The sequence below is a fragment of the Homo sapiens genome, chromosome 1 (genome assembly GCF_000001405.40).
Source record: "Homo sapiens chromosome 1, GRCh38.p14 Primary Assembly".
NCBI lineage: Eukaryota > Metazoa > Chordata > Mammalia > Primates > Hominidae > Homo > Homo sapiens.
Genome location: NC_000001.11, coordinates 200046986 through 200073944, shown reverse-complemented (window position 1 = coordinate 200073944; position 26959 = coordinate 200046986). Strand labels below are relative to the sequence as shown.

At 40.6% G+C, this 26959-nt stretch overlaps 1 protein-coding gene and 1 pseudogene across 9 annotated transcripts in view, besides 2 other annotated features; both read right to left on the bottom strand.

Moving 5' to 3' along the window:
- The window catches only part of NR5A2 (nuclear receptor subfamily 5 group A member 2), a 149706-nt gene that overhangs the window by 103471 nt on the left and 19276 nt on the right, over nucleotides 1–26959 (bottom strand). For all 9 annotated transcript variants that reach the window (NM_205860.3, NM_003822.5, XM_047416753.1 and 6 more), the window contains one exon: nucleotides 25127–25773. In NM_205860.3, the coding sequence (NP_995582.1) occupies nucleotides 25127–25773 (647 nt within the window). The remainder of the gene's footprint in view (nucleotides 1–25126; nucleotides 25774–26959) is intronic.
- Nucleotides 856–1429: an enhancer, noted in NCBI's record as "heart enhancer 1". NCBI's record gives its function as "activates a minimal c-fos promoter by transgenic reporter assays in zebrafish embryonic heart {active_cell/tissue: heart(embryonic)}" and the evidence as "EXISTENCE:transgenic organism evidence [ECO:0001131][PMID:20075146]".
- RNU6-570P (RNA, U6 small nuclear 570, pseudogene) lies at nucleotides 19780–19884 on the bottom strand (annotated as a pseudogene).
- Nucleotides 24746–25685: an enhancer, noted in NCBI's record as "OCT4-NANOG-H3K27ac hESC enhancer chr1:200017388-200018327 (GRCh37/hg19 assembly coordinates)". NCBI's record gives its function as "activates a minimal SCP1, AML or CMV promoter by ChIP-STARR-seq in naive H9 embryonic stem cells {active_cell/tissue: H9 hESC(naive)}" and the evidence as "EXISTENCE:reporter gene assay evidence [ECO:0000049][PMID:30033119]".

Sequence of the window (26959 nt, the reverse complement as noted above, 5' to 3'; positions counted from 1 at the left end):
TGTGTTCTTATAACAGCTATCGTCTCTGTTATACACCCATTGCCCATTCTAATTACAGGTTCAAAAGTCTGTCTCCCAGCAGTGCGAGGCTAGTAAGCAAGGACTGGGTATCTTAACCGACTTCGTATCCCTGCTGCTTAGCAATGTGCCTGGCATATTGAGGCGCTCCATATATGTTTGCTATATTAATTAATCAAGAAACTGTGGCTCAGAGAAGATGTGTGTGCATATGTGTGTGTGTGTGGTGTGTGTGTGTGTGTTTCAGTGGGGCCTACGTATCTGTGATTCTGTATCTTCTACATCCGTGGATTCAACCATGGATCAAAAGTATTTGGGGAAAACAAATTGTGTCTGTACTAAACATGTACAGACTTTTTTGTCATTATTCCCTAAACAATACAGTGTAACAACTACTTATACTCTCTTAGGTATTATAATTTTAAGATGATTTAAAGTACATGGGAGGTTATATGTAAATACTGTGCCATTTTTATACCAGAGACTTGAACATTCTCAGATGTTAATATCTGTGGAAGGTCCTGAAACCAATCCCCCACAGATATCAAGGGACAGCAGTATGTGTGCGCATATATATATAAAGGGGAATATATATATATATATAAAGGGGAATATATATATATATATAAAGGGGAATATATATATATATATATATATAAAGGGGAATATATATATATATATATATATATATGTATGTAAATGCTTTGACCAAAGTCATAGAGCACATTAGTGGCTCAGGTGAAACTGAAACCTGACTTTTGGTTCAGGGCTGTTCACGATGCACTAGTTCTTCCAGTTTCAACTATGTTAACTGATCCTCTGTAGATGCAAACTAATAGTAACCAAATAAGTTAACAAAAAGGCAAGCAATCAACGCTGATTTTCGTAAGGAAGTAAAGATAAAATTCTTCATCACATCTTGTGTCACCTAGAGGAAACATCAGCCTGCCAATTTTACAAACATGCTGGTAAAAGAATTTCCTTGGCAAATTGACAGCATGGAAATGTCCTTTCTAAAAATCAATTAACCCTCTAAATTCACGGGCTTGCTAGAAACATTTCCTATGCCATGGAATACAAGGCTCATGGAGATGCTCTTCCCCTTTCTATTTCTGGACATCTTCTTTTGTTCATACTTGCTAATAATAGTAGCAGAGATGGAGGTGCTATTTATAGTCCTGAAAGCAGCATGACTCTGTGCACACTTTATTCATTTATATTTCCTGTGTTTATTGTAACCTTACCTTTTTAGTAATTAAAAGTGTTCATCCAAGATTTTATTTAGCAACAAATCAGTTGTAAATAGCTTTTCTTTTAATACATGAGAGCCTATATATAGGCTCACTCAAATATTTTACTCCCACTTCCTTATTAACTAAAAACAGATTTCAATGGTGGGTAGGGGTATACAACGGTGTTTTCTTTCCAAGTTTTATACAAGATCTAATTATTTGGCCTTCGGGTGTTTTGATTAAAAGGGTGTCACATTATGAGGTAAATCATGCATTCTCAAATCATTCAAATTTTGTCTTAGATACTGAAGCAAAATTGCTATTATAGCCAACCCACCATGAATTTATTAATCAACAGACTATAACTTTAAATTTATCTGATTGCTATATAATATGGTTAGAATATATAATAATTAAAAATGCTTCCTCTGCTCCATAAAAAATTGCTTGCTGGAATACAAGTTCTCTAAAAATGGTCTCACCTAGAAGTTCCCTTTGAAACCAATAGGGTTTCCCAGTATTAGAAGCACCTAAAAACAGAAAAATTAATTTTCCTAGATTTACTCCTGGTATTCCTTTACCTCGATTTATATAAATGAGTTAGGCCCTACCTCTTTATAAGCAATTCCTTGTGAAGATAGTCATACCAAACATGAATCAATTTCCTCACTAGATCTAAGACAACAAAAGTGCATATTTTGTCAGCTTGAACCAGCATTCCATATCTATCTGTTCTTTATCATATAGTATAGATTGTTTTCATCAGAAAGTAAAGCTCAAGGTAGTTTGTGTGCATCTATTTTAAAACTGATCAATTTTTAAGACTTTCCAATAAAAAAAATCTGCTAAATATTATAATTGGTTCTGTCTCTGAGCAGAGAAATACTGAGTAACACAGGCAGTGCTTGATCCTGTGGTCCCACTGAATATCGGCTCTGCTCTTCATCACAACCTCAAAATCCACTAGAATTGAGACAGTTAGGTTTTTAATCTAAAATAGCCTAGTTAGAGAAGTAATTAGCAGTTAATTAGAGCATTCAATCTCAAAAGCTCTCTTTTAATAAATGTATTTTTTACCTCTCTGCTCTAAACCTGATCAAACCAAAAGATTCAGCAAAAGTGGGAGCAATTATGTAAACATTTATTCAGTTATTCTCAATATGGGACAATTTAACTTCCAGATTTGCCTTATACTCAAGTGTAATGAAACAACAGATTTTGGGCACTGTTGTTGTTTTAAGTGCCATTTCAATGTGTTTTTACCTAGGGTTTTGTTTCGATAAAGTTGATGCTACATAAACACCTCTTAGCTCAGAAACCATTGTGAAACATTACAGCTGTGCAGCAGAGTGTTTTCAGGTCTAAACTAATTATTGATGTGTTAGTTATTTTTCTCTACCTCCTAAGGTGAAATGAGACAGGGCTGAAAGCTGTGGAAAAACCTAGAGCAAAAGCATATGAAATAATATTTTGTGGATATTAATTCCTCTCTTTGAAAGTGTTTGGTCTGGTACATTTGATTTAGAAATCAAAGAACATTAATCAAAATAGTCCTACAAATGATTTGACCTAATCTCAAATTCTCGTTAGGCAGCCATCTGGGTAAATAATTTCAAACCAAAGAAGTCAATTGCTCTAAAAAGGACGACTTGTAAAAGGACGTATATATCTGGAAAAATAGGTAGCTTTGCTCCCATTTCAAAAGATAAATTCATTTTTACTCTCTCTTATAAAGTATTGCCAACACGTTTCTAGTATTCCCTGCAGATTCTTCCAGAATTCTCCCTTTTACCTGAGAGCCTGCACATATAAACTGAAACTCTGCTATGCATCCTAACTGCTCAGGTACATACACAGGCGTGGCACATTGACACAGAGCAAAAGCCAGCCACTTAAACCAGCTCTAAATCAGGTTTGTGTATATATTTGGTGGGGGGGATGGGGCTGGGGGGTTGGAACAGATTTTTGATTAAAAGTTATTATGCAGGAACAGTGAGTGATTTTTTTTTTTTTTTGAGACAGAGTCTCACTCTGTCACCTAGGCTGGAGTGCAGTGGTGCAATCTCAGCTTACCGTAGCCTGGACCTCCTCAGCTCAAGCGATCATCCTGCCTCAGCCTCCCAAGTAACTAAAACCTCAGATGCATGCAACTATACCTGGCTAATTTTTAAATTTTTTGTAGAGACAGGGTCACTATGCTGAGACTCCTTGTCTTAGGCTCAAGTGATCCTCCTAATTCGGCATCCCAAAGTGCTGGGATTACAGGTGTGATCCACAGCACCTGGCTGATCATTTCATTTAAAGTATATATTCTTGACTTGTAGATGATTTAAAAATAAAAATCCTCAGACACTCCCAAATATGACTGGCTTATAAGATTTGCTAGGCTACCTTCTCTGTGTGCCTTAACTATTCCTCAAACCAAAAGACCGAGAAAGCCGAAGCCCACAGCAAATGCACAAAGGGGCTCTGCCATCCATTCATTTAACTAACATATACTGACAGCTTATTATGAACAGGAAAGTAGATGCCTGGGAAAAATTACCTAAAACCAACTGTATACAAAACTACTACCCTGCACAATTTATATCAGTCAAACTACCTCACAAATGAAAAGTACTTAAGGATGTCACTTTATTTTTCGGGCAAAATTAGAAGTGAATAAAGACGACTTAAAAAAAAAAAACTTTCCCTTAGCCTTCCAAATTTATGTTGAACTTACAGCTCTGGAGAGCAAACTTTTCATAAAAATATCTCTAACATCCTATTTTAAAGCCAAATGGAGTTCATCTTAGAGATAACTATTCATGGACACGTGTAATATTGAGACATAATTAGAGATTATGTTTTCCAATGTTCCTCTTAATTAGTCACTTAAGAATTCTAATCTTTTTACTTTGGCATGAAGGGCAAGACTGGGTAAATAAAATCAAATAGGAAATGTAAGATAATTTAGTAGTTTTTAATGTGATTCCTTTTACGAATAGAAAAATTAAATTTCTGCAGTATGAGGACCTCCAAAACCTTTATGACATACTTTATAATCTTACCATAGGAAACCCCACAGTTTCCTAATTAGATAATAGTAAAACTTGTATCTATATGCAATACTATATTGCTATTGTAGAATATGAATTGTTTGGCCAAGTGTGGTGGCTCACGCCTGTAATCCCAGCACTTTGGAAGGCTGAGGTGGGTGGATCATTTGAGGTTTGAGACTGGCCTGACCAATATGGTGAAACTCCGTCTCTACTAAAAATACAAAAATTAGCCAAGCATGGTGGTGCATGCCTATAATCCGTGTTACTCAGGAGGCTGAGGCAGGAGAATTGCTTGAACTCAGGAGGTGGAGGTTGCAGTGAGCTGAGATCATGCCATTGCACTCCAGCCTGGGTGACAAGAGCAAAACTCCATCTCAAAAGAAAAAAAAAAAGAATATGAATTGTTTATAAATTCTTCATCAGAACTAAAAGAGAACTTACAGCATTTTCCATTTAAATTTGTTTGATATACATATTAAAAATTTCTTAGGGTAAGGAGAGTGAAATTGAACTAATGGGACTATGCCTGGTATCAGCTAGTCTAGGTGAGCTTAGGAGAAGGTGGAATGCTTAAGACTGAATAACCACAGAGTGTCTAATGAGGCTATAAATGCTGAACTTAGCTCAGAGAAAAATTACTTCTTTAGTCTCCAGGCATGACTTTCTTGATAGTCCCTGGGTCAATGAGAAATTATTTTTAGAAAGAAAAACTCACTACAGATGTCTGGGGTTAATATTTATTTTCAGTCAGTTTGGGTAGTATAGACTTAAATCCTATTTTACCAAATTTTAAAATATCATCATCTGTGTAGATTTCTATCTTTATTTCTACCTCCTCCTAGCCCAAATGATATTCTACACAAGAAATACCTTAGCAGAACTGCAAATCGGAAGCAGATTTACCTGAAACTAATGAGCTTCAGCTTCAGCAGCCTTTACTTGCACAGAAAATCCCATGGCTTTTTGAGGGACTCAAGCAATGTGTATGCTCCAGGTCTAATGTTTTTGTAAAATGTGCAAAAGAAAGAGATTTTTGTGGTCTTTTTCACTGAGCGCTTCCTAAATTGTATAAAATTTAGAGTCCGCAAAGCTGGGATTAATCTCTGCTGCAAGGGACCACTGACTTGGGCTAATAAGTAAACTGGCAAGAAGCCTTTTCAACTTCAAAGATATCAGACAAAATATTATCAATTTTTTTTTCCAAATGACTAGAAGTAAATTAAGTAAGTTTCGAAGTAGTGGGAAACTAAGTCCTGTTGGAATATTGGGAGACTGAAGAATTATAATAGATGAAACACTCATTGCTATTAGCAGGGTTATTGATTCTGATATGTATGACATATTTATGCTCATCTGTAATTTTGTAGATAAATCCCTGGATTTGATTTCTAATCCAAACCCTGACACTGCTCTGCCCCAGGAGGAGAGAAGCCTTGGAAAGACTATAGCTTGGATTCTTGTGCTACTATAGAAAAGAAAGTTGAAAGAGTTCTTTAAAAAGCAACAAAGATCATTAAAGAATTGAAGATAAAGCTTACAAAAAATATTTAAAATAACTAGCAACTTTACCCTCATAAAAAGGACAACAAAGGAAAACAAATTGGGTCTATGCCAAGACACTGATGCAAACATCGGATGAAATTCATCTATAGGTTTCATACTGAAGGAGAAAAATACCTTTAAAGGTAATATTTCACACTTTAAATACAAGGAGTGCAAAGTTTCCTGAGCTCAGAGCCAACCTCAGAATCAGGAACTTCAAGGGAGGAAGCACTAAATGTTCTCAGCCATTATTTCTCTGCATACGTAGCCAACTGAATTTGCACACTGGTGTCTGCATAGGCACTTAGTCTTTTTTGTGTGTTTTTAAACATTTATTTTAGGTTCGGGGGTACATGTGAAGGTTTGTTACCTAGGTGAACTCTTGTCATGGGGGTCTGTTGTACAGATTATTTTATCACCCAGGTATTAAGTCCAGCACCCTGTAGTTATCTTTTCTGCTGTCTCCCTCCTCCCACCCTCCAGCCCCAAGCAGACTCGTGTCTGTTGTTCCCTTGTGTTCGTGAGTTCTCATCATTTAGCTCCCACTTCTTCTTTGAGACAGAGTTTCACTCTTGTTGCCCAGGCTGGAGTGCAATGGCACGATCACAGCTCACAGCAACCTCCACCTCCCAGGTTCAAGCAACTGTCCTGCCTCAGCCTCGTGAGTAGCTGGGATTACAGGCACCCGCCACCCTGCCAGGCTAATTTTGTATTTTTAGTAGAGACGGGGTTTCTCCATGTTGGTTAGGCTGGTCTTGAACTCCCAACCTCAAGTGATCTCCCCGCCTTGGCCTCCCAAAGTGCTGGGATTACAGGCGTGAGCCACCGCGCTCAGCGAGCTCCCACTTATAAGTGAGAATATGAGGTATTTGGTTTTCTGTTCCTGTGTTCCTTTGCTAAGGATAATGGCCTCCAGCCCCACCCATGTTCCTGCAAAAGACATGATCTCGTTCTTTTTTATGGCTGCATAGATAGGTGATCAGTCTTAGTTATACCCCTCTGTCTTAATTACTGAAATAAATTTAGATTCCCTAATGTCTAAATTTTTTAGGTTTTCACATAGCTGCAATTCAGCAAGTCATCATGTAAAGGGTTATGATGAAGCAAGGGGTAGCCACGTGTTCCATCTCTATTGACAGGTCCACAGGGAATGACACGTGATGCAGAAGGAAGGATTTAAGTTGTACATAAAAGAATGTCTTGACTACTGCCAAACTTTAAAATAGATGGCAGGGGCCAGGCATGGGGGCTCACGCCTGTAATCCCGAGGCCGAGGTGGGCAGATCACTGGAGGTCAGAAGTTCGAGATCACCCTGACCAACATGGTGAAACCCTGTCTCTACTAAAAATACAAAAATTAGCTGGGCATGGTGGTGGGCACCTGTAATTCCTGCTACTCAGGAGACTGGGGCAGGAGGATCACTTGACCCCAGGAGGCAGAGGTTGCTGTGAGCCGAGATCGTGCCATTGCACCCCAGCCTGGGTGACAGAGTGAGACTCCCTCTCAAAAAAAAAAAAAAAAAGATAATTAATTAAATAGATGGCAGGGAATGTATAGAGGATCCCCACCCCTGAGAAATCTTTGGGAAGAGCTTGAATTTATATCTGCGTGGAGTGGTCGAGCTGTGCCTTCTTGAATAAAAATAAGGATTAGAATAAATGAATAGTTCCCAAAGGTGACATCTGAGAACTGGCTCTGGCACCTGGCTCTATCTGTTTAGGGAAGTTTTAGAACATGTGCAGGATTTTCCCCTAGATGGTCTGGTTCCCCTTCTCCACAAATGGCTCCCAAAGGCTTAAGCCAAAAACCTGAGTCCTGCCTGCCTCATCTTCTCTCAAAGTCTTTTTGGCAAATTCTATCAGCTTTACCTCAACATGTATCCTGGGTCCATCAACTTCTCCCCCATCTCCATTCTCCTGCCCTGATCTAAGCCACCATCTCTCCATCTCTCCCCTGGGGTGATGGACCTCCTGTATACTCTCTTGCTTCCCTTCAACTTTTTTCCCATCTGCAGCCAGTGCAATAGTTTTTCTACTGAGAATTCGATGAAATCACTCCATTGCTTAAAATCCTCCTATGGCTTCCTATTCCAAACAATAAAATCCAAGCCCTCCAGGAGCTGGACCTTGTCAAACTTTTTGACATTTTCAAGAGCCCTATTTCCCCCACAATCATTGATTTTTAGGTAGTGACCTTCCTTTATTTTCTTGAAAATATTAAGCTAGCTTCTACCTCAGGATTTTTGCATATGCTATTCCTGTGCCTGTAGTGCTGTGTGTCCAGATTTATCAAGGCTGTTTTCTTTCTTGTTATTTGGATTTCAGCTGAAATGTCAGCTCTTCACATTGGTCTTCTCTGAACCCCTCTAACTGCTCCCTTCCTCCTCACTTGTTTCTTCCCACTTCTAGAACAGGGCTTGACACATACTGGATACTTAATTAATGTATGTTGAATTAATAAATATATGAATGGATGAGCAATTCATCAGGTCTGGGGTAGAATTTGGGAATATGTAATTTTAAAAAGCTAGTGTGGAATCACTTTAGGCACACTGGGCTAGACTGCCCCCTCGATGTGTGCATATACTGGAAGGATGATTTGGTGTCATTAAAATAATAACTATGAAATAATCAGCAATAAATCAGTTCAAGGTTAAAAAGAAAAACTTGGCTGGGCATGGTGGCTCACGCCTGTAATCCCAACATTTTGGGAGGCCGAGGTGGTGGATCACCTGAGGTCAGGAGTTAGAGACCAGCCTGGCTAACATGGTGAAACCCTGTCTCTCCTAAAAATACAAAAGTTAACTGCATGTGGTGGTGCACACCTGTAGTGCCAGCTTCTCAGGAAGCTGAGGCTAGAGAATCACTTGAACCCAGGCAGAGGTTGCAGTGAGCCAAGATCACACCACTGCACTCCAGCCTGTGTGACAGAGTGAGACTCTGTCTCAAAACAATAAAAAAATTAAAACTAAAAAAGAAAAAGAAAACTTTCTGGTCAAAAAGAATGTTATACTGAAGAAATCTGAAGGCTGGGCATGGTGGATCAAGCCTGTAACCCCAACACTTCGGGAGGCTGAGGCAGAAGAATTGCTTGAGCCTAGGAGTTTGAGACCAGCCTGGGCAACATAGCTAGGCCCCATATCTACAATAAATAAATAAATAAATAATTTTTAAAACATTACATTTCTTTAAATTAAATATGAAACAAGGACCAGGACCTCAAATACATACATGTCATCAATAACCAAAATTTACCTAGAGGAAAAAGGTCTGTTGGAGACAATAACAAAAATAACTAAGGACATAAAAGATACCAACTCCTTTAGTACAAGTTTAGATAGTAAATTAAAAACAAAACAATATTTAAATGCACTTTAAGCTAAATGCTGGCAATTAAGGAAAATCCTATACCAGGACCGAAATCATGACATTATGTGGTGGGCATATGTCCCTGGTACATTTTCAATCCTTCTGGCCCCCGATGCTTAAGTTTTTCCAGTGGCTCCCCTTTGCTTTGAATAAAATCCATATTAGAACCGTATGTATAAATGAGCTGCTCACCTGTCCAGCTTTACCCCTTGCCCCTTCCCTATCCTTGTCCTTCCAGCCATAGGAATTACTTGAAGTTTCCAAGAAGTGCTATGCCAAAGCCTCTGTATTTTTACACGAGCTGTTCTCTCCTAGTGATGCCGCCCTGAACCCTCCCTTACTCTCACCTTGTTGTCTATGGGAATTAAGTTGTCCTTTCCAGTTCAAACATAATCTTAAACATTGGTGTAAACAGGGCTGGGGTTATTAGTGTGCTGTCATAACCAAGTACTTGCACAAGATTTCAGGGTCAGAGTTTGCCATTGTGTTTAGTGCCGCATCAATGTCAGGAGGGGTTCTACTTTAATTGAGAAAACTGCCATGAAGACTTAACTTGTAAAGTGAAGACGGCTCTCGTCCTTTTTTTTTTTTTTTGAGATGGAGTCTCGCTCTGTCGCCCAGGCTGGAGCGCGATGGTGCAATCTTGGCTCACTGTAACCTCCACCTCCCAGGTTCAAGCAATTCTCCTGCCTCAGACTCCTGAGTTGCTGGGATTACAGGCATAAGCCACCATACCCAGCTACTTTTTGTATTTTTAGTAGAGACGGGGTTTTGCCATGTTGGCCAGGCTGGTCTTGAACTCCTGAACTCAGGTGATCCTCCTGCCTCAGCCTCCCAAAGTGCTGGGATTACAGCACTTGCTTCTGTCATGTCTCCAGCAATTTAGCATAGGGATTGACACACAGTACAAACTTGATAAATGTTTGATGAATGTGTGAGTGAATAAATGAATATGTGAATAAAATTTGAATTTGGCCTGATCCTAGGTCAGGACTACCCATTTATGGCTGAAATGTTTTAGGGGCAGCTTTAAGAGTGTGATTCAACAACAAAGAAAAATACTACACCCCAGTAAAATGCAGGTGTAATGTGGTTTGATCCTTTCAAAAGCTAAAAATCTCAGCTGGACCCTTCCAAATATGACTGAAATGAAGTTATTTTTACTAGATTATAACACTTCATTGATAAACTCATAAAAGCAATTCTCAATGGTCAAATAAAACTCCTTCAATAACACTCATCAGCAGGAATACCAACAGATGAGTGCAACATAGTAATGCTTTTAGGCCGGGCGGGGTGGCTCACACCTGTAATTACAGCACTTTGGGAGGCCAAGGTGGGTGGATCACGAGGTCAGGAGTTCGAGACCAGCCTGACCAACATGGTGAAACCCCGTCTCTACTAAAAGTACAAAAATTAGGCCGGGTGCGGTGGCTCACATCTGTAATCCCAGCACTTTGCGAGGCCGAGGGAGGTGGATCATGAGGTCAGGAGCTCGAGACCAGCCTGACCAACATGGTGAAACACTGTCTCCACTAAAAAAAAACAAAAATTAGCTGGGTGTGGTGGCATGCGCCTGTAATCCCAGCTACTTAGGAGGCTGAGGCAGGAGAATTGCTTGAACCTGGGAGGCAGGGGTTGCAGTGAGCCGAAATCGCGACACTGCACTCCAGCCTGGGTGACAGAATGAGACTCCATCTCAAAAAAAAAAAAACACGCCAAAGTGAACCAGGGCCATTGTTTACACTGCAGGTATCTGATGTTACTTGAACTAAGTGTTAATAGCAATAGTGCTGTTATTGCACTCAGGTGTCTTCCCCCCACCTTAATTTACATGCCAAACAGATCCATAATTTTTTTCTCCAAAGCTGGAGTAAGAATCAATTAAAGTACATAATAATGTGTTAACTAGCTAATACAGCAGTTAACATTAAGGGGCATTTCAAGCCTCTGAGTTTTTAGCAGTAGAGCTTTTCTTTCATTTGCTCTGTAAGATCTATAATTGAAAGAATACCATGAGAGATGGCTTTCATCAGCTCTGCGAGTTACATTTCCTGCTTTGATAACTGTACAAGGAAAATCTAAGGCACTTCAAGCTCCCCAATTACATTTGATTAGCTAGTCAAAATAATATAACAGCTTTTCATCACTCAACGGAAAACTTTTGAAGAATTCTGTTGCCAACACTTCTGCACAAACACTAATCTATATCATTATTTTATAAGGGGAAATGTAATATTTGGTAAGTTTTTTAAAAATTAGGCAACAAGTAAAGCCTCTTATTCATCACAACTTTAGATCAAAAAGGCACACAACTGTGCTGATAAGATGTGTGGTGAAGAAGCATTTGTAGCAGTTTCAGAGTCCACAGGATACAGTGATCGAAATGAAACAACAGCCCTTAGAATGAGCCAACATTTCAGAGAATGTGTGTGAAAACAGGATATGCACTCAAAACACTGCGATACACACATGGACACAGATACACACACACACACACACACACACACACACAAAATCTGCCAGGGAGAATTATTTGGGACCCTGAACTTGTGCATGCAGATAATTGTTTTTAGCAAATGAATATGAGTGTGCCTGTATGAAAATAAGGAACGCTAATTAAGAAGTCATTTAAAACATTATTCTGGGAATTTTCAGGTTATTGACAATATCTATGGAATGTTGCTTAAAAGTAAAGCAAAGATGTCTACATATTGCCTTTACCATTGAGAAATCTGTATCCGTCCTTTATGTCTTGAGCACGTTAATTCAACATGTATCCAGTGTCTACCATGGGTCATTCCCATAAAAATATGTTTTTAATTTAAATGAAGTAATTATCCTGCTCTCTCAGGTAAAACATGCTATAAACAGGGCATTTAGACATGTGACAGTCAATTCATAGGAGGTGGTTCTGTTATAGAATTTAATAACGAACACTACTAAACCATTGATGAAAGGCCAGTTACATCTGTGCTCCCAAAAATGAAAGACAGAGACCAGGACCTTAAGATCTCAGGTTGCATTCCACCTTTGCGAGGCTCTTATTGCACAATAAAGGACAGACTTTAGACCTATTGGCCAATTATTCCATCTGTCATGTAAAGAAATGGTATTCTTACAGAATTAGAAGTTGGATCAAGTTTGGTTGTAAAGTTAATCCCGGGTCGGGCGCAGTGGCTCACGCCTGTAATCCCAGCACTTTGGGAGGCGGAGGTGGGCGGATCACCTGAGGTCGGGAGTTCAAGACCAGCCTGACCAATATGGAGAAGTCTTGTCTCTACTAAAAATACAAAATTAGCCAGGCATGGTGGTATACGCCTGTAATTCCAACTACTTTGGAGGCTGAAGCAGGAGAATCGCTTGAACCCTGGAGGCAGAGGTTGCAGTGAGCCAAGATCACGCCATTACACTCCAGCCTGGGCAACAAGAGCAAAACTCTGTCTCCAAAAAAAAAAAAAAAAAAAGTTAATCCCGAATGTTGTGCACTCTGAGTGACATTGACATTTCCAAATATTCAAAATAATGTGGTTTTCTGTTAGTTTTCTGAGAGAAATGATCAGGCAGCATTTCAACAAGTCCTGGGTACTTCAGACTTAATTTTTTTTTTTTTTTTTTTTTTGAGACGGAGTTTTGCTCTGTTGGCCAGGCTAGAGCACAGTGGCGCAAATCTTGGCTCACTGCAACCTTCGCCTCCTGGGTTCGACCAATTATCCTGCCTCAGCCTCCTGAATAGCTGGGATTACAGGTGGCCGCTGCCATGCCAGGCTAATTTTTGTATTTTTTTTTTTTTTTTTTTTTTTAGTAGAGATGGGGTTTCACCATCTTGGCCAGGATGGTCTCGAACTCCTGACCTCGTGATCCACCTGCCTTGGCCTCCCAAAGTGTTGGGATTACAGGCATGAGCCATCACACCCAGCCCAGACTTAGTTATTCTTGTCAAAGCTTTTGGCTATTCCTTCCCAGGACACATACGTGAAGAATTCATAGAATTTGTCCTGGTAGGTCAAGAACGTAGCATGTGAAAATTATTTCCAAGGAGGAAGTTAAAGGTGAGGAAGACACTAGTGACCATCTCTGGGACTGTGTGGATACATGGTTAAAAGACTGAAGTAGAACAGCCTTGTCATGGACAGAAACCCTTACACCTATTTGAAAAGCAGGGATTTTCAAATTGCTTTTGCATTGACTTCGTGGGATCCATGCATACTCACCTTGCTAAGCCTGCAGCCTCAGTAACCTCTCCTGCCCATACCCATCCAAGCTGAGCAGCTACTCCCTCTGCACTCACCCTTGGAAAATGCCACTGTGTGGAAGTCACTTGGTACAGTGGAAGGACAGATAGAAATCCTATTATCATTAACTGCAGCCCTTCTCTGGGGTCTATTTAACCGTTTCTCTTGCCTGCTCCACCCATTCTCAGACTTGTAGGGAACGAGTTGCCTTCCTTGCTCAACCACATTTCACCTGAAGGGTAAATGAAGATGCAGCTGAGGACAAGGTAATGCCTAAGCGTGCTTCCTGAGGTATTAGAAGGAAAGGAAAAAGAGTTAATGAAGTAAGAAAAGAAAAAGCGAATTGGGACAGAAGAAAAGTGGACAAGGAGGAGAGAGGAGAAGATAAAGAAAATGATGTGCAAGGTTAGTGTGCCCCATGAAGCCAGCCAGGGCGCCCATGCCACTGGCTGCCTGATGTTAGCCTACTGTATGGAGAGGACACAGGTGTAGAGGGGAGTTAAGTTTTAAGTATCAGATATTCAAGAAATACCTAACTGCTGGGTTAGGTGACGTGGTTTATGTCATTTTTGTTGTTCTTGGCTGTGGGTGGTTTTCTTGGGTTAGAGCTTAATGTCTTTAACGTGAAGAATAGTTTAAATGGCCAATTTCCATGGAGCCATTCTGCAAATGGATGTTGAACTCTCAAAGATTTGTATGATCTACTTCCCAAGCTGCAGAAGAATAGGTCAGAGCAAAATCATTCTTTATTTATCCTGGAAAATAAAAAAGATCTATTTTACCATATAGGTTCAGAGGGCAAAGTCCTTCAAAAGTGTGTTGAGGGATGTCACATATGAGTCATGTTTTCTGTGTGTGTTTGTGTGCATGTGTGTATGTGTTTAACTTATTCTGTGACTTTGTATGACAGTGTGCAGACAGGGAACAGGGGGCTCAGGCTTAGTGGGCTCTACCTCCCCAACACTGAGGAAGTAACACTGGCAGCCTTTCCATAAGATCTGTGAGCAATCTGTGTGCCTGCTGGAAAAGCATAAGTACTGGAATAAGCAGGGACCCTAATTATTCTCAGCAAACAAGCATGTGGCTACTTCTAGGCAGACAAGCTGACAAAATTGCTTCTACCGATTGTTCAGTAGGAACCAGTGCCGAGCACTGGGAGGTTGGGAGATAAGGTAAGCCTACCCAGGTATTCACAAGCTGGGGAGGACCTCACTGCTAATGCATACCTGACTGCCTCATTCTGTGCCCCTCCAATTATATATAGCCTGGTTTTGCAAAATGAGGCTGAAGTCTCTGCAACCAACAAGACCCTGTTCCTGTTCTGATGGGGACATACTGAATTATTTTGTCTTCAGTTTCCTACGATGGTCTCCTCTAATTATTATTATTATTATTTTTAAGACAAAGTCTCACTCTGCCGCCCAGGCTGGAGTGCAGTAGTGCGATCTTGGCTTACTGCAACCTCCGCCTCCTGAGGTCAAGTGATTCTCCTACCTCAGCCTCCCAAGTAGCTGGGATTATAGGCAAGTGCCACCACGCCGGGCTAATTTTCATAATTTTTGTAGAGAAGGGGTTTCACCATGTTGGCCAGGCTGGTCTCGAACTCCTGACCTCAGGTGATCCTCCCACCTCGGCCTCCTAAAGTGCTGGGATCACAGGCATGAGCCACCGCACCTGTCTGGGCCTCCTCTAATATGAAAAAAAAAAACAAAAACAAAAAACAAAACCCAGCCCAGCGCGGTGGTTCATGCTTGTAATCCCAGCACTTTGGGAGGCCGAGGCAGGTGGATCACCTGAGGTCAAGAGTTTGAGACCAGCCTGGCCAACGTGGTGAAACCCCGCCTCTACTAAAAATACAAAAATTAGCAGGGCATGGTGGCGTGTGCCTGATCTCAGCTACTCGGGAGGTTGACGGAGGAGAATCGCTTGAACCGGGAAGGCGGAGGCTGCAGTGAGCTGAGATTGCGACACTGCATTCCAGCCCGGGCAACAGAGTGCGACTCTGTCTCAAAAACAAAAAAAAACAAAAAACCAACATAATAAATGTATGTATCTTCGGGTAAACTTACGAAAAACCACTCTCTTCGGTAAAAAATAATACAAGTCCTTTAAGACCTGTTGGAATATGGTAAAGAGGTGAGCATATTGATAATGGCAATTATCAATTATAAAGTACTTTAAATATCCTGCTCTTGCAGGTACAACATGCTGTAAACAGGGCATTTAGACAGGTGATAGTCAATTCATAGGAGATGGTTCTGTTGTAGGCTTTAAAAAACAACACTACTGAACCATTGATGAAAGGCCAGTTACATCCATGCTCCCAAAATGAAAGACAGAGACCAGGACCAAAAAAATGTATATGGAAGTTCTTTGTAAACAGTAAAGTACTTTACTGAAAGTACAATTTGGCTGAGCGTGGTGGCTCACATCTGTAATCCCAGCACTTTGGGAGGCCAAGGCGGGTGGATCATCTGAGGTCAGGAGTTTGAGACCAGCCTGGCTGACATGGTGAAACCTTGTTTCTACTAATAATACGAAAATTAGCTAGGCATGGTGGCGCATGCCTGTAATCCCAGCTACTCGGGAGGCTGAGGCAGGAGAATTGCTGGAACCCAGGAGGTGGAGGTTGCAGTGAGCCGAGACTGTGCCATTGCACCCCAGCCCAGGCAACAAGAGTGTAACTCCATCTCAAAAAAAGAAAAAAGGAAAAAAAAGCACAATTACGGCCAGGCGCAGTGGCTCATGCCCATAATCCCAGCACTTTGGGAGGCCGAGGCAGGCAGATCACCCTGAGGTCAGGAGTTTTGAGACCAGCCTGGCCAACATGGCAAAATCCCATCTCTACTAAAAATACAAAAATTAGATGGGTGTTGTGGTGCACGCCTGTAATCCCAGCTACTCGGGAGGCTGAGGCAGGCGAATCACTTGAATGCAGGAGGTGGAGGTTGCCATGAGCCAAGATCGTGCCACTGCACTCCAGACTGGGCGACAGAGTGAGACCCTGTCTCAAAAAAAAAGAAAAAAAATTGATTTAGCAAACTTTTACGAATCAATTAACTTGACATCTCTATGAGTCATTATGACTGACGGACGTATCCTCCACAGAGAACATGTTATACGAGAGCGATGGTCTTTTACTCCCACTCTGACCAAATGACCATACACTGTGCTCTCATCACTGGACTGTCCTAAAGATCAAACTAGAAAATGGCCTGAAAGCACCTAGCACTAGAGTAGGTGCTTAGTGGGTACCCAAGAAAAGTTACTTCTCTTCTCCTTTACCATATGACCTAGAGCAGAGCAAGGAAAATGCTCACGTCTGTACCATTTTCCAACAGGTCTTAAAGGACTTGTATTACTGAAAAGAATGGTTTTTCATAAATTGACCCAAAGATATGTAAATTCATTATGTTTTCTTTTGTGTAATTAGAGAAGGTCATCGTAGGAAACTGAATACAAAATAATTCAGTACATCCTCATCAGAACAGGAACAAGGGCTTGCTCTTGGCTGCCGAGGCTTAAGCCTCAGTTTGCAAAACCAGACTATATCGAACAGGAGGGACACAGAATGAGGCAGTCAGGTATGCGGTAGCAGTGTGGTCCTACTCTCACTGTTCAGATTCAGACACCTGACGATGGCCAAGCTAGTTAAACATGGATTTCTTGGGTGTGCCTCGCTATTCTCATGTTCTCCCCATGGTTCCAGTAGATAACATACAGGTTAATACGAACAGGACGCTCATAAGACATGTGAACAAGCAGACCCAGTGTGAAGTTATGATCATCACTACTCTCTTACCAAATATCCCAGCGCCCCATGGAGGATATGTTTCCATGGAAACTATTAGTGCTCAACTACGCTGAAACCATAAGTTTCAGGGAGCTTAAACTGAGTTTGCAGTTTGTAAATGTATACTCAACGAATAAAGCAAATTTACTTCTTTTTAAAAGTAACAAAAAAAACTCTAAGGACAAAAACAGATCAGGATTGGCAGGGACTGGGGTGGGGAGAGGAGTTTATTACAAAGGGACACAAGAGAATTTTAAAGTGTGAAAGAGCTGTTTTATCATTTGTACATTAAAAACAGTAAATTTTAGGGAGAGTAAATTTTACCTTAGTAGAAGTAACTAATGCATGGGAGTTTTGAGGTGACTGGTGTACTTTCAAGATATCCCAGTAAAGAACAATACACATCCCCACAGTAAGTGGGCATGTTCCACTGCCCCACAGTGAGTTGGCCATAGCACAAACAGGCATTGACTGAGAAGAGCTGATTCTTTCAGTGAATTGTGAGCAAGAAGAAAGCTCAGAAGAAAGCAAGAAGAAAGATAATGGCTTTCTGAGTCTACAATAGACACATGCAATATACGTATGTAAGCAAGAAAGGCTGAAATAACATAAATTCTCATCCAACACTATCAGCCACACCAAAGCCTTCTGTTTCAGGTCTGCTTGGAAAAAGATATAAAAGCAGATGCTTAACACCTGAAGAGACCTTAGAGACCATGAATCAAACCTGCTGATTCCAACATTCTCTCCAAATTCACAAAGACAGAACACTTTCATATCTACCTTCAGCGGAAGAAAAACCAGTTTTATCATTTCCTTGTAAACCTATGCAGGTTCGATTTATTTCATTCTGGCAACTTTGTGATGAGTATGAGAACTGGCAATAGATGGCTTAATGTGCCTTGAGATCAAATTTTGATTGGAAAATTTTCATTCATTGAAAAATTTGACTGGAAAACAAACTTTAATGTTTATTTTCTTTGTGTCATCCTTGTGCTTCCCAGATTAGCTACTTTGCATCCAGAGAAGTGAAAACAAAGGTAAGTAAAGTGGCTATTGCTCTGTGACATCACATGGCAATGAGGAGTGCTCGTGTTGGACCCATGATTCCTGACCCCAACTCTCAGGAGAAGGCAAAGAACAGCCATATGGCAAGTAAATGTGGTAGACACCGAGCAGGATCCTCTCTCTCAGTTTCTCTTTCTCTCCCATAGAAAAGTAGGGCTGGCTGGGCACAGTGGTTCACGCCTGTAAACTTTGGGATGCCGAGGCTAGTGGATCACCTGAGGTCAGGAGTTTGAGACCAGCCTGACCAACATGGAGAAACCCCATCTCTACTAAAACATACAAAAATAAACCAGGCGTGGTGGCAGGCGCTATAATCCCAGCTACTCGGGAGGCTGAGGCAGGAGAATCACTTGAACCTGGGAGGTGGAGGTTGCAGTGAGCTGAGATTGCACCATTGCACTCCAGCCTGGGCAACAAGAGTGAAACTCCGTCACAAAAAAAAAAAAGTAGGGCTGCCAGGCACAGTGGGTTATGCCTTAATTCCAGCACTTTGGGAGGCCAAGGTAGGAGGACTGCTTGAACCCAGGAGTTCCAGACCAGCCTGGGCAACGTCGCAAGATCCCATCTCCACAAAAAATAAAAAATTAGCTAGCGTGGTTGCATGCGCCTGTGGTCCCAGCTATTTGGGAAGCTAAAGTGGGAAGATGGCTTGAGGCCACAAGGTCAAGGCTGCAGTGAGCTATGATCATGCCACTGCACTCCAGCCTGGGCAACAGAGAGAGACCCTGTCTTAAAAAAAAAAAAGTAGGACTAAGTAAATTTACTAAAGAATATAGCTTAAAATTGGGGCAGATTCAATAAAGTCTGAGATTATAGGCCTGCATTGGGAAAGGTAACTGTGATTTAGGAAAAAGGATCTAGAATGTTAAAAATAGATAAATAATGCTGCTCAGATAGCTTCCATAATTGGCTAGAGAAAAAAGAAGGTTTGCTCCTCCCCTTGTGCCCTCGCTTTAGATAAAGCTATACTTAAAAACCAACTTCAGCATGGCTAAATTCCTTTGGCACAAACTCCCTGAGTCTCTGAGACCTATTTTCCACAGAAATGCTAGTTGGGAGTTTCAGTCAGGATTAATTTAGATTTTTTTTAATACGTACATGTATCAGAATCATTCACCGAGGGGAAGTTCTTATATATCCATTCCCAGAATTCTCTTAAGACATCTGGTCTCATTAGAAGATCAAATAGATCCTCCAGATTCATTAGTTGTTTAACAAAGTGGGAATTATTTTCTCACTGCTCTTGTGTTTGTGAGATATTCAAGACACAGGTGAAAAAAAAAATAACTGAAAAAAAAAGCCAATCTTCTTGACTCACAAGGACAGCTCTTTCAGCAGAATACAAAAGTCTCGAATTAGCTCTTAATTTCTAAAAACACAAGGAAACAGTCAAGAGCATAGGTCACTCAACAGATTTGGTTTAAAGATCAGAAAATTTTATTAGTGGCTCACCTATCACCCGGTTACCATCCTGTGTTCTCTTTTTTATGGACAGTTTCATGAATGCCTGTGTCATCTTTGTGCAGGGGGTCATGCTAATCTCTGTATCTTTCCAATTTTATTGTATATGCTGCCAAAGTGAGCTCCCTGCATTCTTTTTCTGCTATCTCGACAAGCATACGTAACAAGAAACCCATACTGAACATGCCCAGCTTCTAGTAGAGCACAGGATATAATCGTGTTTGGCCGCTTTAACGGCAGAGCACAGCCCATATGCCGTCACTGAACCAGATTCACCTGGAGAGTAAACTATCCGCAGAGGGTAGGGCACTAGAGAATGCTTCAGAAACTCAAGGCCCAGAAGTGCTGAATCCACTGTACTGAATGATACCCCAGTGGCCTGAAAGAATTATTGTAGCTTTTTAAAGTGACTCATTCACTCCCACGGGGTCATCTGGACTCAGGGAAAATCTGTCTCACTGATTATTAGTGATTTGGTAATTGGATGGTAGTGATGGGCTTCTGATAACCTAGAGATTTGCTTTAGCTTCACTGGCAAAGGACTGTTTTCTTTGGAGTCAAAGATTACACTGCCTCTTTGTGTGTGTGTGTGTGTGTGTGTGTGTGTGTGTGTGTGCGTGTGCATGCTGGGGGGGATGAGGGAATGCGTACAAGAGGACTGCTTCTTTGAACCTGAATCTACCAGTCCCAGTTCTGCCATTCAGTAGCTGGATAATCTTGGGCAGATTACATTCCCTTCTGCCTCAGTTTCTTCATATGTAAAAAGAGGTAGGGTCAAATGATCTCAGTGATCTCTTCTAGCTCTGAAAAACCTTGTGATTTCTAGGCAATGAGTATCTTTTGATGCACATCTGTTGTTGCAAAAGCTACAAGTTTCAGAGTATTAATTTCATCTTTCTCAAGCCATTATTTTGGATGAAGACCAGAATTGTCCTTTACAAGTGTGTTAAAAAAACAAAGCAGCTCGCTTATATGTGTCCTCTAGCCCTTTTCCCTTTCATCTTCCAGCTCTGAAATTCCACGGTTTCTATGAGAGTTGGGGAGTTGTAACTTCTTCTTTTTCATTCCAATCTTTTGAATGAAAACCAGAATACCTTTTTTTGCACCTTGTAGATGTATAGAAAAACAAAACAACCTACCAAATTTCCTGGCCCTTCTGTTCCCTTAACTAGTAAACAAATGAAATTCTCTTTTTTTCCTATGTGGTAGAGAGTGTAATTTGTCCTGAGAGAGTGAGCAAGAGGTAGGCCGGGTGCGGTGGCTCATGCCTATAATCCCAGAACTTTGGGAGGCCAAGGCGGGCGGATCGCAAGGTCAGGAGATCAAGACCATCCTGGCTAACACGGTGAAACACCGTCTCTACTAAAAATACAAAAAATTAGCCGGCGTGGTGGCAGGCACCTGTAGTCCCAGCTACTCAGGAGGCTGAGGCAGGAGAATGGCGTGAACCCAAGAGGCGGAGCTTGCAATGAGCCAAGATCGCACCACTGCACTCCAACCTGGGCGACAAAGCAAGACTCCGTCTCAAAAAAAAAAAGAGAGTGAGAAAGAGGTCATTTCAAAATTGCCTAATTAGGAGCAAATATGTGATTTTTCATCTTTGGGTTTTAGAGGTATAAAAAATCTGTCCAATAAGTATATCACTTGATAGGTAATTTGCTGTGAAGTTACCAAGGAAAAGGACAGATATTTAATGAATAAAACAGGCACAATGGCTCCTGTCTGTAATCCCAGCACTTCAGGAGGCCAAGGCAGGAGGATTGCTTGAGCCTAGGAGTTTGAGACTAGCCTGGGCAGCAGAGTGAGACCCCTGTCTCTACAAAAATAATTAAAATCAAATTGAATAAAAAAGAGCATTTATCTTCCCAAATGATATTTTAAAATTACAACCTTTACAGAAAGATAGGGTGGGGACTCAGGCTGTGGGTTTCAAAGATGTCTTATAGGCCACGCCAGGAGGAAGAGACCTTTTTCCGGAGTTATTATCCTTAATTGTAGCAGGTAGGCAACGCCAATGGATGGCCGATAAAACCTCCTCTAGAGCAGCAAGTTTTCCTGAATTGCAGGTCATGCCTCATTAATGGGCCGTGAAATCAATTTAGTGAGTCGTGACCAGAATTTTTTTAAAAACATGAAATAAATTAGACTAAAGTAGAATAGATAGAAAATATCAGAGTGCGTGGCTTGTAGGTTATGTACTATCTGGTGAAACTTTGGTTTAGTTGTGTGTATGTGTTTGTATGTTTGTGCATCTCTGTGTGTGTGCGCCCGTGTGATGTGTTTGGTACACTATGTCCTGCCATAAAATACATTTCCTACTGTGGGTCATGATTAAAAAAATTGAAAGCCACAGCCCTAGAGATGTCTCAATCCTGGCTTCAAATGAGTTGGTTTGCTTTCTGACAAAGTAAATTTATAAACGAAAGGAAAAGGAATTCTTCCAAATGTCAATAGTCACCTCCCAACTCTCTACTGAAACTATCCTTAAGTTTTTCTGAATTCTACTCTTTGTTCACCAAAAAATACTTGAATCACTCCTGGTCAAAGTAAGCCCAAGGCAAACTGTGAAGTGGGTCAAAATTATCTTTCTCTTCTGGGAACATCTCCCACCCCTTGTAGACGACCCTCACGTTTGTACTTTTTTCCCTTTTCCTTTTTTCGTATTCTATGAAAGACTGATAAATGCATTAAACAACACCGTAATTGATTGAAAAATGCTTTTATATGCCCCATTCTCAAAGATATTTATGTTTTAGCCAAATATTTAACCTCATGCTATATAAAGAAGTCACTGTAAAATTTATCCACAGAGGAGGGAAAAGAGAGGAATAGTGGAAAAAGTTTTCCCAGCCTTCTTAATGCCTTACAGCCGCTAGCTGTATTTACTTCATGTTTCCTTTTTTACATGAAAATAATATGCATTATTTCTTTCCTTGTTGATTTGTAAAATATATTTTTATTCTCTGCGGCTGTCTTTATTTTTTAAAATAATTATTTATGAAACTGTCTTATTATAAACTCTGAGAGGAAACATGTTGTTTTATTCAACGTTGTTTTTACCTTATACCCAACTTACCCCTTGGCCAATTTTAGGTCCTTAATTAGTACTGATTAATAACTGTTAATTATAACAAAATCATACTACTCTATAACACATGTAATAGTTTTTGCCAATGTTAAACTAAGAGACTATAATTGCATTGTTTTGATCCTAAATATAAAAATTATGTAGATTCTGCACATTTTTCATAAAACAACAGTGATAACATCAATTTATTTATTTATTTATTTTTGAGATGGAGTTTCGCTCTTGTCACCCAGGCTCGAGTGCAATGGCAAGATCTCGGCTCACCGCAACCTCCGCCTCCCAGGTTCAAGCAATTCTCCTGTCTCAGCCTCCCTAGAAGCTGGGATTACAGGCATGTGCCACCAAGCCCGGCTAATTTTTTGTATTTTTAGTAGAGACGGGGTTTCTCCATATTGGTCAGGCTGGTCTCGTACTCCTGACCTCAGGTGATCCGCCCGCCTTGGCCTCCCAAAGTGCTGGGATTACAGGCATGAGCCACTGCACCCGGCCCCAGTAATATCAATTTAAAACAGCACCACACTTTACTGAGTATGTAGTATATGCCAGACTCCCGGTACTGGGTGCTTTATCTGCATATTCTCATTTTCCTTTGAAAACCTCCTCAATATAAGTAGTTACATCTGTGCTCCCAATACTCCTCCACAAACACCACATATACAAGTTACACATGAGAAAAACCAAGGCTCAGAGAATCTAACAACCTGCCTATGAAGACATAATTATTAAGCAGTTCATTTGATTGTAAAAAGTCTGTGTTTTCCTCATTTTTACATTACCTAACCTTTCGACAGTATCTAAAATTATCATTTTAATTTTCATTTTCAAATACTTTACCTGTTTGATTAAGGACACAGTTTTGAATGTAAGAATATCAGGAAAGTGTTTGCATGGTTTGTTTTTTCATGAAAAATGTTCTGATTATCATAGAGTGGTTACAAACCCTAACACATACTCGGAAAATATCTGGCCTAATTGTGCTAACGCAGTGCATTCTGCTTGCCCTTTGCAGCCTGAGATATCCTTCAGCCATTTTTAAGCGTAGCAATAAAGGACGTGGAAATAAAGAGCTGGATGTGTCCACAGTCTTAACAGCGTGCTGATGGAATTTTATCAACTTATTTAGGTCTGTTCAGGTAACTTTTTTGCTTCCATGTACAAAGAACAGTGCTTAATGTAGACTGCTATGAAAGCATTATTTTCCATTTGCATGTGGCTTCCACATTCCCCAGACCATCTACTTACACAGACGATTTTTAACAGTAACTCTTAAAATTAAAAGTCGGCTTTGCATTTTCCTTCTCTCAGAAATTTTACAATCAATCTCCTGTCCTAGGTAATCACAAGTCACAGATATTTAGCAGCCACATCTCTCCCCGTTACAGCAAAAGGAAGAAATTGATTTTGTGACAAAATATACTTGGAAATCAAATTCAAGACTCACTTTTAAAATAGGAATGAAACCACTGACTACCAAATGTGTTTTGGTAGCCCCTCTTAGATTCCAAACTTCTAAATAACTTTCTCACATTCATTCAGACTTAAGTTTCAGGAAATAAAATAATTATTAATTTAAACATAGATCCCTATACAAACAAGTACTATGTTTACAATGTACCAGTCCACTAAAATCAACAAGACATAGATTATGAGAACTACAACCCAAACCAAGTAAACTAGCACTCACCATTTGCCCATTCCCCATCCAATGACAGTAAACATCCTATTGGAATCTGCTACGAAAACAAAGGCTTTACCAACCTAATGTCAAGGCAAACAGTAGTAAATACCTACTTGATACTACTAACCAGTGGTATCATTTTCATTCCTTAGAGTCTAAACACTACTAAATGTTGGCATTTTTTCCTTCAAAAGAAACCTTCAAGATGACACCATTATAATATAGCTCTTTACATGGTAATTTTCAAGAAAAATAGTTTACTAGGCGCTATTTCACATTGACTTGAAATGTTTTAAGCCACAAACCATCTGAATTAAAAGGAATACAGATATTCTACTATTTAGAAAAAAAAGCCCGAGTTTCCTATACTTTATGTTAAATGCCAGCCCCCCCAAACTAAGAGCTACACAAAATCAAAGCCCCATAAATTTAAGCTGCCACAGTCCTGAAGTCAAGGTAATAAAATTACGTCTACTCTGTAAATCATACAAAGTAGAAAATTAAGGAACACATATTTTCAGCACCAAGAATGTATTAATTAGGAACATAGTTAGGTCTCTCTTAAAAGGGGTGCTGTAAGTTGTAATAGCTGGTGGCATACCTTAAGTTCTCTGAAGAAGATACTACTCCTGGCCCACTCGACAATGGAGAAGAGAGTTTGATCTGCCATTTTGCACATAAGCCCAAAGGTGCTCAGCTTTTCGTGCTTGCTTCGGTTAGCCTGCTCTTGCTGCAAATAGGCCATGATTTTAGCCTGGACTTGAGGCTCATCTGGCTCACACTTCAAAAGTTCCAGTATCAGATGTGGGATGCTTGCTGGAGAGCTCGTCTGGTAACTATCCATATATGAATAGCCCATTATGGACTCGGGTGAGCTGGTATAGGGGTCTGGGTACTCAGACTTGATGGCCCGGCTAGGAAAGTGGCCATATGTTTGGTAACCTTGCAGGCTGCCGTGAGGGGGCATTGTCATGCTAATGGGGGATGTTACAAAGGGACTTCTGTCATAGTCTGTAGGAGGCAAGGCAGCATGGTTCAGAGGTAGGCCTTTGGAGGCAGAGTGGATGTTTTGAATTGCAGAGGAAATGGTCAGGTCAGAGGGCATAGCTTGGATCACCTGAGACATGGCTTCTAGCTTAAGTCCATTGGCTCGGATGAGGGCTTTTTTCTGTTGCTTCAGGGCCCTGTCTCTCTTGTACATTGGCCCAAACTTATTCCTTCCTCCACGCATTCGGTCGGCCCTTACAGCTGTTGGGGGTGGGGTGGGGGGAAGGAAGGAAAGGTATAAATAAGGTGCAAATTATTAGCATTCTTCAGATATTTAGAAATGTAAATCGACAAGAAGTGGTATGTGTGTGGTTGTTTTCGTTACAATAGCCCACAAAGATTTCCCAAAAAACCATGTCCTCTTTATTTATGAATTCCTTCCTCCAAGTGTGTGTCGTCATCAAAAAAATACTTTGGCCACATAGGGACATATTAACCCTTTTGTGGATGGAGGAGAGTTCATAATTTTTGTTAGACATAGAAATATTTCACATAGGCGTGGTGCGGTGGCTCACACCTGTAATCCCTGCACTTTGGGAGGCCAAGGCGGGTGGATCACCTGAGGTCAGGAGTTCAAGACCAGCCTGGCCAACATGATGAAACCCCATCTCTACTAAAGATACAAAAAATTAGCCAGGCGTAGTGGTGGGTGCCTGTAATCCCAGCTATTCAGGAGGCTGAGACAGGAGAATCGCTTGAACCCGGGAAGTGGAGGTTGCAGTGAGCCAAGATCACACCACTGCACTCCAGCCTGGGCAACAAGAGTGAAACCCCTGTCTCAAAAAAAAGAAAAGAAATATTTCACATTGCTAAGAAAGAGTATCAGTCGTTCTACTAAGAGTATATGCTTTTATTATGCCAGTTCCTTATGGAAACCCAAACTGCTTTGGGGTTTTCTTTTGCAGGGGTGTGGAACTGAGTTACCCAATTTTGGATTAAATTGTGAATACTTTCCCACAAGATACCTTCCTCCCTGAAAGCCATTTTGGCCACCTTGTTGCAATAACAAAAGGGGTGGGGACATGTTCTTGGAAAATCATGTTCACCTGGACTTGATGAGCCCACATCAGATGACCACCAGTTACTGCTTTTAATTTAAGTAGAATTGGACATAATTAAAACAAATTCATTTCAGAAGCTGTCAAGAGAGTCTTCTGCGACAGTGGTGTGTGGAGTCTGCGGCCATGACTAATAAGTTAGTTAGCAGTTCCCTCTAAGTCCATAGTGGCCAATGGCAATTAGACAGAAACTAGAGACCTCTGATAGCTTGTGACATATTGAACTTGCTGGAGGTTAAGTTTTTGAGCTTTTTATCTTGGATTAGTATCACATTAAAAATTTATTGTAAATTCTAAGTATACAGAATATTGCACAAGATTATAAAGAG